The sequence below is a fragment of the Homo sapiens genome, chromosome 20, assembly GCF_000001405.40.
Source record: "Homo sapiens chromosome 20, GRCh38.p14 Primary Assembly".
NCBI classification, from domain to species: Eukaryota; Metazoa; Chordata; class Mammalia; order Primates; family Hominidae; genus Homo; species Homo sapiens.
Window position 1 is genome coordinate 9,444,816 of NC_000020.11, and position 13,363 is coordinate 9,458,178.

The 13,363-nt window shown below is 38.5% G+C and overlaps 1 protein-coding gene across 20 annotated transcripts in view; it reads left to right on the forward strand.

Annotated features, from left to right (window-relative positions):
• PLCB4 (phospholipase C beta 4) overlaps positions 1–13,363 on the forward strand; it is a 412,131-nt gene that overhangs the window by 376,138 nt on the left and 22,630 nt on the right. For all 20 annotated transcript variants that reach the window (XM_024451898.2, NM_001377134.2, XM_005260724.3 and 17 more), the window contains 2 exons: positions 8,532–8,647; positions 12,599–12,674. In XM_024451898.2, coding sequence (XP_024307666.1) covers positions 8,532–8,647; positions 12,599–12,674 — 192 coding nt within the window. The remainder of the gene's footprint in view (positions 1–8,531; positions 8,648–12,598; positions 12,675–13,363) is intronic.

Sequence of the window (13,363 nt, forward strand, 5' to 3'; positions counted from 1 at the left end):
CCAGCTCACAATTCTAGCCACTAGTTACCTAAATTGCCAGGTCACTGTCACATAGTTTGCCATACACACTGGTGCATGGAGGGAGATGCTAGCAATCTGTCAACCTCCCACTCACAGCACCTAGAGAGAGAACACTTGTCACTTTTTCTCCCTTATGTAAATCTTGCCCAGTAGCCTACTTCTGAAATAGATTTATTTTTGCTTTTTACCCATAAGAAGTGGTATTTTGACAGTGATTGTGAAAAATTACAAGAGCTAGTTGCAAATTGTAAGAGAACAGCAGGAGGTGGCCCCAGGAATTCTCCTGTGGGTTGAAAAACGTCATGGCCCTCAAACATCGTCACTTCCAGACTCCCTCACAGGTAAAGAAGAAAAAGGTAGTACCTCTTTCCTTCCTAAGAACATATAATAACCAGCTGCTGCTGGTAGGATAATGTCTGTCCTCTTTTATTAAGGGCAATGAGAGCAAGAGAAACTTAATTTATAATTTATTAATTTGAAAGAACTTCTGAGTTCTTTTAAACTAATCTTGCATTCCTGTTTCTTTATTCTCTGACCCAAGCCTCAAACCAAGGCATGTCCTTCAGAACTTGGCTTGAGTGATGTACCTTTTAATCATTCCACGTATTGAGATGCCGAGAACATTGTCTGGAACCCTGTCCCCTGTCATTTCTTTAAGAGTTTGTGCTAACACTGATTTTTTGAGAAGTCATTTCTTTAAGAGTTTATCCTAACACTGATTTTTTTTAGAAGTTAGGCCTAATCTTATCCTAGTAATGTTCCCTGTATTACAGAACTGTTGGGCTCAATGGATTTGCTGATACAGTCACTTCACTTCAAAGACTGTTTCTAAGTTTCATGAATAATTCCATTCAGTGAAATTCCTTACATTGCTCAATGGGGTTATTGGAGACAGAACAATTTAAAGTAGGGGCTTCAATGTTGTTGGTTATTGACAACAGGCTGAACTATGGAAAGCCAACAGAAAAAGAGTAAGAATGAGAAATAAGAGAGAAAGCACCTTAAATGACTTTAATTATTTGGAATAGAGTGGATGCCCGTATGCTGCAGCACTATCTAACAGATTTTTCTTGCATTTAAATTGGATCTCTTTTATTGAGCAGACACCTCAGTGGCCTTTGGGCTAGTTGGAAACATAAAGATTTTGGCTTCATTTAATATTTTCTTGAGGCATGGCCAGAAAATATGCTGTGGCGGGTGGTAATAATAGCAGCAATAATAGCAGCTAGAATTCCTGCATGCTCAGTAATTCTCAGATGCTGTGCTCAGCACCTTATATGCATTGTCTCATTTAAGACTCTACCCTGTAAGGTAAATTCTATGTGAGTCTCCATTTATATGTGAGGGAATTAGGAATTAGTGAAGTTATCTGATGTCCCAGAGTTAGGAAGCAGCATAGCTGATATTTGAACCAAAATCAAGAGTCCAGAATCCATAGTCTTGCACCATACTCCTGTGTAGGATATGGGATGCTCACTAAGTGGACAAGTTCCCTCATTGGGTCAAATGCAGTGACAGCACATGGGACATTAGGGAAAATCACTATCAACTTTGGGCAGTGTTGATATACTGCTGATTATCAGGACTGTGACTAAGGAAGGATGCCCCTCAATTTTTAGAACTTAACCTACATCAGAGTTGTCCATTAACTCCCTGGAGCCATCATGCCCGGCCCAAGCTAACTTCTAAGATGAAGAATATAATGAATATTTACTTGCCTAATATACACCGATGCCAGCTCTGTTAACATATTGTCTTTAGGCGAGACATGGTGGCTCATGCATGTAATCCCAGCACTTTGGGAGGCCAAGGCAAGCAGATCTCACCTGAAGTCAGGAGTTTAAGACCAGCCTGGCCAACATGGCAAAACCCTGTCTCTAGTAAAAATACAAAAGTTAGCCAGGCATGGTGGCAGGTGCCTGTAATCCCAGCTACTTGGGAGGCTGAGGCAGGAGAATCACTTGAACCCAGGAGGCGGAGGTTGCAGTGAGCTGAGATTGTGCCACTGCACTCCAGCCTGGGTGACAAGAGCAAGACTCTGTCTCAAAAACAAAACAGAACAAACAACAACAACAACAACAAAAACATGTTGTCTTTAAAACCAAAAAATGAAAAACTGTTTAAGGAGAGGGGAACAATGTGGTGAATCTATTACCATTGGACATACTTCATGCCTGATCTCCATATGACGTGTTTATCCTAACACTGATTTTTCTGTCAGTCAACACTTTTAAAGTGGCAATACTAGCTTGTACATATTGATACTTGCTTAAGCACATATTCTTAGGTATTCTCATAACAGTTATATAAAGGAGTACTATAATTATATGAGTTTTGTATCTGTTAGCTTTTGCAGGGTAACAAACCACCCTAAAATGTAGTGACTTAAAACAATGACCATTTATTTGGCTCACAATTTTGTGCATCAGTAGTTGGAGCTGGGTTTAGCTGGATGGTTCTTCTGGTCTCAGCTGTATTCACTCATGAATCTGCTGTTACTACCAGTTTGGTTGGCAGATGGGGGACTGGCTGATTTAGGTCAGCCTCTGTTAAACCACTTCCTCTCTGCTTTATGTGGTCTCCTGTCTTCCAGCAGGCTAGTCCAGGCTTGTTCACATGGCTGGGGTCCTGAGAGACCAAGCAGATCAAGCATAGTTTCTTGTGGCCCCAGCTCAGAACTAACACACCATCACTTCCACCTCATTTTTTGGCCAAAGTAGGTCCTAAGTCTGGCCTTATGAGGTCTCTACCTTTTGACAGGTGACAAAGTTACATCAGAAGTGGGAGTGGATGCAGAAAGGGAAATAACTGTGGCCATTTTTATAGCCTACCGGCTATTCAACAGATTAGCTTATTAATACTTAAAAAAACACAGCTTCATTAAATCATCTAGTTTTTAAGTGGTGGAGTCAGGATTTGAACCAAATTCAGCCCGGCTTGAGAACTCAGACTTGTAACCACTATACTCAGCTGCCTCTGATGTTTCTCACACTAATTTTTCTTCTCTTCACACATCTTTTTCTTTATGGTCTCACTAACAGGTTTTTAAGAGCAATCATGAACCTATCAGGGCACAAATATCTTGGGTTCCTTCAGGACTGGTTTTTCAACATAAGGTCATTGGGCCAAGAGCTGGAGGCTTTACAAAAATATGTATTCTTATGCCTATCTGACACTTAGCTATCATCTCTAAGAAAAGAATATAGGAAATACAGAAATACATTTTAGATAAACTCCTCTCCTCTGCATGCTAAATTTTGAGGACTGTTTTTTTAGGAACATTATGTAGCACTTTTTACTATCTTTTGAGCCCTTAGTAGAAACCCCACTAATCGCCTGCAAAGACACTTATCAAGCCTCCTTAAAGAAACAGAGGTTTTATCCTCTTGCCACATAATAGTAAGAATTAATTCCTACATCCTTTCTGTGAAAGGACATCTACAGCTCTTTTATAATAGTTTTCAGCCACCCAACATGGAGCTAAGGCTTACCACCCCAAAGCCTTATGTCATAAAATGACCTGCTGATGAAGAAATATGACCTGGGCTGCACTCTCCCTACTAGTGTGCCCCTGGCCCAAACAGCCCTTGGTAGCTAAGAACAGGGACTATTATTTAGTCTATATCCAGCAACTGTAGGGAGATCTCAGCTCTTACATATCAGCCTAGATCAAGCTTGTCCAACCTGCATGCAGCTCCCAGGCCACATGCAGCTTAGGATGGCTTTGAATGCAGCCCAACACAAATTTGTAGACTTTCTTAAAACATGAGATTTATGCACAGACTTTTTTTTTTTTTTTCTCTCATTGGCTATCATTAGTGTCAGCGTTTTATGTGTGGCCCAAGACAATTCTTTTTCCAATGTGGCCCAAGGAAGCCAAAAGATTTGCCACTGCTGGCCTAGATAAATAATTCTACTTTTTAGACTTAAAGAGAAGCAGAGAATCTATGAACTATATCTCAGCAGTTTAAGAAATAAATGTATGGTCCCAAGGAGAGCTTATTTCCAAACTTGCAGGTTAGCTACCAGATAGAAAGGAACAGTGGGGTGAGTGTGAGGTTCTGCCATTTGCAAATAGGTGTGCAATTTGCTGTTAGGATATTGAGAAGAAAAGATGGGGGTAACGACCATTTGCACCCCAGATGGATATAAAAATGCTCATTAAAATGTCTATTTTTGGAAAATGGCAATGATCAACTGCATTTGACCCTCTGAATGTACTGGCAATCAAACTTCTACTTGTCTCATACTTTCTAGAACCACTTCAATTCGAAATGGAAACTAGGGTAATGGTTTTTCAAGTGTCTATTATATGAGACACAGAAAAAGGAGAATTAATTAACAATAATCCTCCCCCAGCACATGACTCATTGGGATCCAGAGCTGCAGTTACTTTCATTAAGAGACAGGCATGCTTTTCAATTGTCCAATGAGGTCAATTCCTTAGAGCCAAAAATGTAAAACCCAAAGTTGGATACATATCTCCAGTAACGTGTTAGAAGGGGAATTACAATTCAAATGCCTATGGGGTCCAAGCAGGAAGTAGCTGAGGGAAGTTGGACAGGTGTTGACTCCATAAAAGCTGGGAGCACTCATCTCTATCCACAGGCCAAGTCAGTCTGAGCTACCACCATTGGTGCCTGGAGAGTAGATGGGTCAGTCGTGTCCTCTTAAAGGAGAGTCAAAAAATCAGAAAGCTTATCTGAATTTCCTGATCTTTTACTATCGGCGTCTAATTCAACCTCTTTTTGAAACTGCGTAGGAAAAAACAAAACAAAATCCAAAACTAAAAACTACATCTGCAGGCAGGATACATTCCTTAGGCCACCAGTTTGCAGTATCAACATTAAATGAGTCAAATGAAATGCCTGAGAAGCCTACTAAACTCTGGCATTTTTAGTAAAGCTACTGATGGAAAATTTTCTCTTTGCTATGCAAGCAATTTAGCCGACAGCACCAAGACTGTTGTTAAACTCATCAATTTTAATTCATGGTCAGACCTTAGTACCAGACCTATAACTTAGTTTTGCAGTGGAAAGGGGCAGAGACACAGCAGTTGCCCTCAGAGTCCGCCTATTGGTAATCTCAGAGTTACATGCTGAGCAAACATGATTTACTCCAATTTTTCAGCACCCTCTGTGGTGCGATCATTCACGCCCATAGTCACATCAGTCACAAGAATGAATTGCAGCAGCAGTTTTCCCCAAAAGAAGCTGAATTTACTCTTAACTTGGATAAGAAACGTACACAAATTCTTCTGAATGCTATACATGTTTTTCCCCAAAATGTCCCAGTTAAGATTTACTTTAAGTTAACACATTTAATTTTGGTACTCTTGGCTTGAATGAATGAGAAATGTATGTCTCTTCAATAGTGTTTCATGATTTAACTAAGGACCAAAAGAATAAAACCAATAATGGACATTTTTTTTAAGCTAAGATGGACTTAGAGATCATTTCATGCCTCCTTCATTTTACAGCACAATGAGCTGAGACTTGACCAGAGTCACATGGAAATCAGTAATTAGGATCCCCATTTCTTTCTGAAAGGACAAGTGGTGTCTGGGAATCAAGTTATCCCAAAACACTTCAGCAATCACTGCCTACCACACAGGGATGGAGTTTTGAATAAAAAGAGAAACAGAGACAATTTTTCAGGACCAGCTTTCCTGTTACTGACATTAATTATAGTCACTTTAATTCAATATGCTTTCAGTTTTTCAAATTATTTTTGCATATGTTTAGTAACCTTGCATCTCATAAGCAACTCATGAATTCGGTTAGGCAAAGGTACCTAACTCAGTTTTCTTTTCTTTTCTTTTCTTTTTTTTTTTTTTTTTTTTGAGATGGAGTCTTGCTCTGTCATGCAGTGGCATGATCTCGACTCACTGCAACCTATGCCTCCCGGGTTCAAGCAATTCTCGTCCCTCAGCCTCCAGAGTAGCTGGGATTACAGGAGTGCACCACCATGCCCGGCTAATTTTTGTATTTTTAGTAGAGTTGGGTTTTTGCCATGTTAGCCAGGCTAGTCTCGAACTCCTGACCTCAGGTGATTTATGCGCCTCAGCCTCCCAAAGTCCTGGGATTACAGGCATGGGCTACTGTGCCCAGCCCTAACTCAGTTTTCTAATAAAGACATTGAGGCCTGGGAAGATTTATATATGTTACACAAGGGCAGTTGTTTAATTATTGGCTGAGCTGGGACCAGAATCTAAGTCCTCTTGCTATTTTCCTATGCTGACTTTTTATTCATGCGATAAATACTTATTGAGCATATACTTTGTACCAGGCTTTGTGCCATGTACTGGTAAAGAGAAAAGACCTGCCCTGCTCTTGTAGAGCATATTACATAGAGTTGAATCCATCATAAACAACTTTGTGGTACAAAGAGCCCTATTCCTCATATCTAATTGGATTAATAAGGTTCACCAAAATATTTTCTTAGGAAAAAAATCTGTGTCAATTTACATCCAAGCCTCAAAGTCTCTACTTGTCCTGTTCTGCACTAAAATATTTAAAGAAATAGCCTTCACCCTCCTTTCAATGATATTTGCAAGATAATATAGGACTGTGGCACTTCTGATATATTTTGAGACCTGCAGAAAGCCCCTTATTTATTTAATTTTTTGCCCAGGAAAAATTAACACATGGGTTAGCCAACCATAATGATTTCTAAATCTTAGAAAGAAGACTAGGAGGAGGGCATTTTAGTAGGTACCAAAGTATTACAAGAGTAGTTAAATACATTCAGGGATACATCAACATGTTCCTCTATTCCTGGGGCAGTAGATCAAGCATGGAGGAAACATTTATTGATTTAATTAGTCTGATTGATATCCCTATCTCAAGTCACTCTCTGTGTGTTATCATGGGTATTGAATAGTATAGATAGGTTTGTATGTCACTGTGTTTTGAATAAGCTGTAACACACATTTGATACATTAGATTCACTTTTAATCCTAACAACCCTATGAAGTAAATGTCACTATCCCAATTATAAAGATGAGCATACTCTGGAAAGGTAAGTGACTCACCCCAGCACTGAAAAACCCATGTCCTTAACCCAGTGCCACATTGCAGAAGCTCTGGAGGAAATGTGTTTATAGCACAAAGGTGCACACACATTGGTAATATGGCTAGATTTATGGGGCATTCCAATTACAAATTAAGCCCAGATCCACAGCAAGCCCACCTAGCCTTTGTTCCCACTGTAAGTTCCTATGTTGGGAATCTCCCTATCCAGCATCACCCTTCTCCACTCCTTCTCCTAAAGACAAGAATGCTGAGGCCTTGTGCATGAATGCGTTTCTAAAGAATTTATATATAAATGAATTGTAGATCAAGTCCTGTGTTAAATCTCTTAGCTGGGAAATTAAGGAAGTCTTGGTAAAGACTTAAAAATTCCTTCCCCATTTATATTTTATGAAACCGTTAAAAGAAGTTCATGAATTAGATTTGCATAAAGTCAAGCCTACCTTAGAAAGAAAATAAATTTGCTTTTAAATTAAGGCACTATTTTCTTCAATAAGTGAAAGGAAATATGACGGTGAGAGGGGTTATATAACCTGAACAACATGTACACCCATTCCAGTCATGAATAGCATCCCATTTTTCTGGTTCTCAAGAGTAAGGTTAGGCTATAACATCAAGTGTCATTTAGAGTTGGAAATTTCTGATTGTACTGATTTCCTCTGTGCTTGGGAGGCTGAGCAGCTAAAGAAATCTGATTTCATATAAGTCATTGGCTGTAGCTAAATGCCTTTTTCATTGTCCAGGAAGAAATAATGTTTATATTGAAATACCTACTTTCCAAAGCATTGCAGCCCCAATTTCAATGGTTACGTGAAGCAGATGGGAAAATGTTTTAAATATCTGTAAAACAGAAGGCCATAGCTCCTGAACACTTTATCCTCATAAACTGCTTCTAGATAAGTAAGCCAGTGAAAATATTAAGTGATGTAGATTCAAATTCAGCTGATGGTGACAAACACAGTGATGCCTCTCATTATATAATAATGGCATTCAAGAGCTCCAAAATGTGCAGGTGTTTAGAAACCATGTCACATGATGAATAGTTACATTTAGCATATACAAGAGAAGAAACATGGTGGCTGAACTTGCATGTTTGAGGACCAATGTGTGGAAGGGGCAGTAGGCTAATTACATGTCTCAAACAGCAGAACAAAGATGAATGGGTGGAAATACTACAGAGATGTGTATATGTAGAAGAAAGGACTTCGAGATGATTGGCACTACCCACTGCTGAGCAGGAGTGCATTTGAACTGGGCATGTTCACTAGACTGAGGCTAGAGACTCCCATGTTGGGAATGCCCTTGGACAAAAAAACCGGTGTTGAATGGGAGATCTGGAGTCTGTACTGTTCTCAGATTTGGTTATTCCTTGACTTTCTAAATGAAGACTCTAGGGAAGCTGGTGAAAGTTATGCCAGCCCTATATGGTGTGAGCCATGCTAAGAGTCCAATTCATAACTGCAAATCCTTCTTGTTCAGGAACACAGTACCATGCAGAAGTTACACTGCACGCAAGTTGACAAAATTGTGGCACAGTATGACAAAGAGAAGTCGACTCATGAGAAAATCCTAGAGAAGGCAATGAAGAAGAAGGGGTAATACTGTTTATTTCCTTCTGAAGACTTTCTCTATGTTTATATTTTGTCTTTTCCCACAGTTTTGCTGCTGTTTAGGTCAAGGAAGAACTTAGTGTTGACTTGATTTTCATCATTAAAAATTATTCCTGGGAAGTAAGAAACTCATTCATTTTAAATGCTCTAACATCATAACAGGTCAATGAGTGGATGTAGCTTCTGGTTTGGGGAAGGTTCTCAGCAGAGATTCTGATATCTTTTAATTCATCATAATTATTTCTAATATGAGAAAGAAATCTTAGCCTCAAATAATTGAAAAAATACCTCTTTACTCTGAGAATTGATTGTCCTTTTTGATTTTGAACTAATTTTAAATTTACAGAAAAGTTTCCAAAATACTACAGAGTTCCCTTATGCCCTTAACTCACTTTCCCTAAATGTTAACATCTCACATAATCATAGTACAGTTGTCAAACCAGGAAATTGACAGTGGTGCAATACCATTAACCAAGCCACAGTGATTTTTCACATTTTACCAGTTTTTCCACAAGTGCTTGTTTTCCACTCTGGGATCACCTCCAAAATTAAATAGCATTTAGTTGTCATCTCAGTATGTGATAATTCCTCAATCTCTCCCTGTCTTTTGTGACTTTCACTTTTGAAGAGAGCTGGTCAGTTGTTTTGTAGAATGGCTCTTCTTTTGGATTTGTCTGATATTTTCTCATGATGAGAGTGAGGTTATGCATTTGTGGCAAGCACACCATGGAAACAATGCTGCTTCCTTCTCAGTCCACGATATTGGGGGGATGGGGGTGTGACATTGATATGTCCCATTATTGGTGATGTTAACCTGGATGACTTGGTTAAGCTGGTATCTTACAGGTTTCTGCACTGTCAGATTACTTTTTTCCCTTTATAAATACTTTGGGGAAAATTCCATGAGACCACGCATACATTCTATTTATCTGAGAAATTATTTTTCCTGCCTTTGACCTTCTCCAGGGATTCCCTCTGGTTTTTATCTCTTTCCTTCAATCTCTGCTGATGTCTTCTAGTTTTCCACAACCTTTGGCACAAGAGAAAAGGAGAATGAGATTTCTTTTTCCTACTTGGGTTTTTTGGCATTTGGTTTTTGTTTTTTATTTTTTGTTTTAACAGTCACCCAAGATATACCTAGAAAACTAAACTCTGAAAACAGAACAGATTATGTTAGTTATAATTTTCTTGGACATTGGTTCATATTGCCGAAATTTCAGATCCCAAGATCTAAGTTCATGACATGAAACCAATGTAATTTGCTTGAGGAGTAAATGGTGGGTAACTAAAATGCCTGCCCTGGTATCAGGCCTCACTATTTGAGAGGTACCCTCATTTTTATTAAAGTTGTATTTTTCAGAAAAATACAAATCAGGCACTGATTATTGAGCATCTGTTATTATGCATCATCTGCCTTTTGTTTTCCCCGTAGGTTTCACTGTGTATTATTGAGGCAGAAATGTGCCTGTTGCTTAGAAAACATTTTGATCTGTATTTTAAGTGAGTAAGTGAGTCACCCACCTCGGAGCTCATGTGGCAATATTGGTAGTGATTACAGTAAGTTTTGAGGAGCTGTGATTCTTCTAGATTCTAACCACATCAGCTTTGGCCTATTTCTTTTTTGTAAATTAATTTCTCATATTTAATGACATTTTAGGCTATAATATTGAAACTGATGGTAGACAGACTCTAATACCAAGGAGCAAATTGTTGATGACTTTATAGTACTCTCCAAGAATAAGGTTATTTGTATTTACAAGATATCTTTTCAAAAAATGTTTCATGCATTTTTGTGGATCGGTGTATTTAGAAACACAGTTTTGGCTTAACCAAACCAAAAATTTTTATTAAGGAGATTTCAGATCCAAGCACCATAGAGTAAATTTCTTTGCTAAAAATAATATTACAGTTTTCTGATTCAATCAATCATGAGTGCTACCTTTAGAAATTTTTAAAAAATTGATAAAATATATCTTTACCTCATGATTGTTTTTACTCTCAAAGATAATGTGGGATCAAAATGTAATTTATTATAAACTTGGTAATTATTAGAAGTGTCCCTGGTGTGACACTTAACCCCCCAAACAGGCTATTGAGTGCTCTTGGAGGTCTCTCAGCAAATAAAGCCCTGTTTTATCCTAAACGTAGATGAGACTGGAAAAGTCTAATCTGTAGATTTCTTCCTGAGCCTCTGCTGTCAAACGCAGCACTCCTAGCAGGCTCTTCACACAGAGCATTTCCAAGTACTCTAAAGAGTAGAATCTTAGCAATACATTAAAAGTTACTTCAAAATCAGACATCAGATACTTTCTTCTGGAAAGCCATATCTGAGGAGAGTTTCTCATCATTAATATTCACCATGATATCAAGGTTGCCTGGACTTAGTCTTGCTATGTTGCCCAGGCTGAAGTGCAGTAGCACAATCTTGGCCCAATGCAACCTCCGCCTCCCAGGTTCAAGCAATCGTCCTGCCTCGGCTTCCTGAGTAGCTGAGACTACAGGTACATGCTGCCATGCCGGCTAATTTTTTGTATTTTTAATAGAAATGGGGTTTCACCATGTTGGCCAGGCTGGTCTCGAACTCCTGACCTCAAGTGATCTGCCTACCTTGGCTTCCCGAAGTGCTGGAATTACAAGCGTGAGCCACTGCACCCAGCCTTCCTGGACTTTTAACTGCAACTGAGTTGCTAAAAAGTTAGTGAAAGGGGAAACTGTGACAGTCCTTGGAGCTTTCTCATGCAGGATCTATTTTTGAAACAAATGAAAGGTTTCCCCTTACTCTTACCTACTCAGCTGAAAGGAAAGATTGACCTGGGAAAGGGAAGCTTTATTCAAGTGCTTCCAGCTTTGGCTAATGACTACCTCTCATATGCTTTCCACTCAAGGATCTTTAAGGTGATGGTAAAAAGATGAATGGGGGAACAAGGGAAGACAAGCTAAAGTTGGGAAAATTCTAAATTACAGAAATTATTTTGCATAGCCCGAATATAAAGAAGGTTGATGCACTAGAAAGGGGAAAATAAAATCTTGATTTTCAAATAAATATTACAAGTGCATGCCCTTATGCCCTCAGATGAGAGTGTTGAATAAAACCTCTCATTGCATTTACTGTGAAAGATTTGTCTAGAATTAAGTCACGGGAATGTTTCGGCAGTGCTGCAAACTTATTGAATAACAGAAGAGAGAAGAAACTTGCTCAGTGCCAGCCATTGAGAAGTGCTAGATTTGATGCGAGACCTTGCATTTTTAGAGTAATGCTTCTCTCACAGGAACTTGGAATTATATTATAAGGAAGCATTCTGACTTGAGCTATAATAACCTAGAGTATACATGCTGAAGATGAAGCTCAGGACCTGTTCTTGTTTCAGCAGCGATGTGGATATTCCAAAAGGAAGACATAATCACTGAAATAAGCAGTAATAGTTGCTGGGCACTCGCCTAGCATATATTTCCTACTCACAATAGAATAAGAAGCAAAAATTGCCCTGTGGTGCCAAGGATTGCTATTTTCTCCTTCACTGGCATATTTAAAAGACAAAAATCTGGCTTTATAATGAAATGGAAGAATGAAAAATTCACTTCAAGTCTGAGGACCTATTTTCCAGTTTTCATCCCAAATAATATTTTATTGAATAAGTGAAAAATAGCTTGAGAAAAACAGGAACCAAAATGGAAACTGACAACAGCCCCTTAATGATGAAATAATTGTTAGGTTTGAAGTGCCTCTTTGTATAGTGGTTGAATTGAGTAATCATGAAACAGATAATATTTTGTAAGGTGTGAATCTATTACTAGAAAGACCAGTGTTGCCCAATGAGCCATGACATCTCATATTTGATGAATATATTATCTTCATCAGAAAGCTTTGTAGCAAAGACCCATGGGAATGGGAAAATATCTAATTTCTGGCATGCATTTGCAACTTTCCATTTTCAGGGGAAGTAATTGTCTCGAAATGAAAAAAGAAACAGAAATCAAAATTCAGACGCTGACATCAGATCACAAATCTAAGGTAAGAAAATGCCCATTTTTACAGCAGTGACTTGCAGAAGACACTTTGTAATTTTTTAGAAGGAGTACCTAGTGTAAATTAGAAATAACAGTAGCCCAGAGCTGGTCTAGTAGCCTGCAGCTGATCTGGGATGTCAGGGGAGCCCAGGGTTCATGTTTGCCTCAGACTCACTGGCTTTAAGAAGAGCCATTTCATGGAACATCTTCTTTTGTCTTGTCTGTTGAACTATGCTAACAATATTTATGTTGCCTGCCTCAGAGGCATCAAGGAAAATAATAAATGAAGATACTAAAAGGAAATATTATATAAAATACAGAATATACTTCCCTATAGAAATAACATTAAACATAGGACAGAAAACCGCCCAAATTGGGAGGTGATACTTACTCCATCCTAACTTTACATGGAAATTTGGAATGAGAAAAAATTAAGAGCTGATATTCTAAAAGAGAAGCCTAATTACTCACATTTTCTTAAAGACAGGAGAAAATAGGAGCTTGAGAGACTTTAATCAACTTTGTGGGCATTTGGAGAACTAAGTGTTAAGTCCCAGTTAAGAATGAAAACAATTCTTCCAGCAATGATAGTTTTTAAATGAAAAGGAAAAAAAAAGAAAAAAAAAACCAACAACAACTGTTAAAGAAAGCTCCCAAAAATAGCTGTGGTTGAACCAGCCAGCCTCATCTATC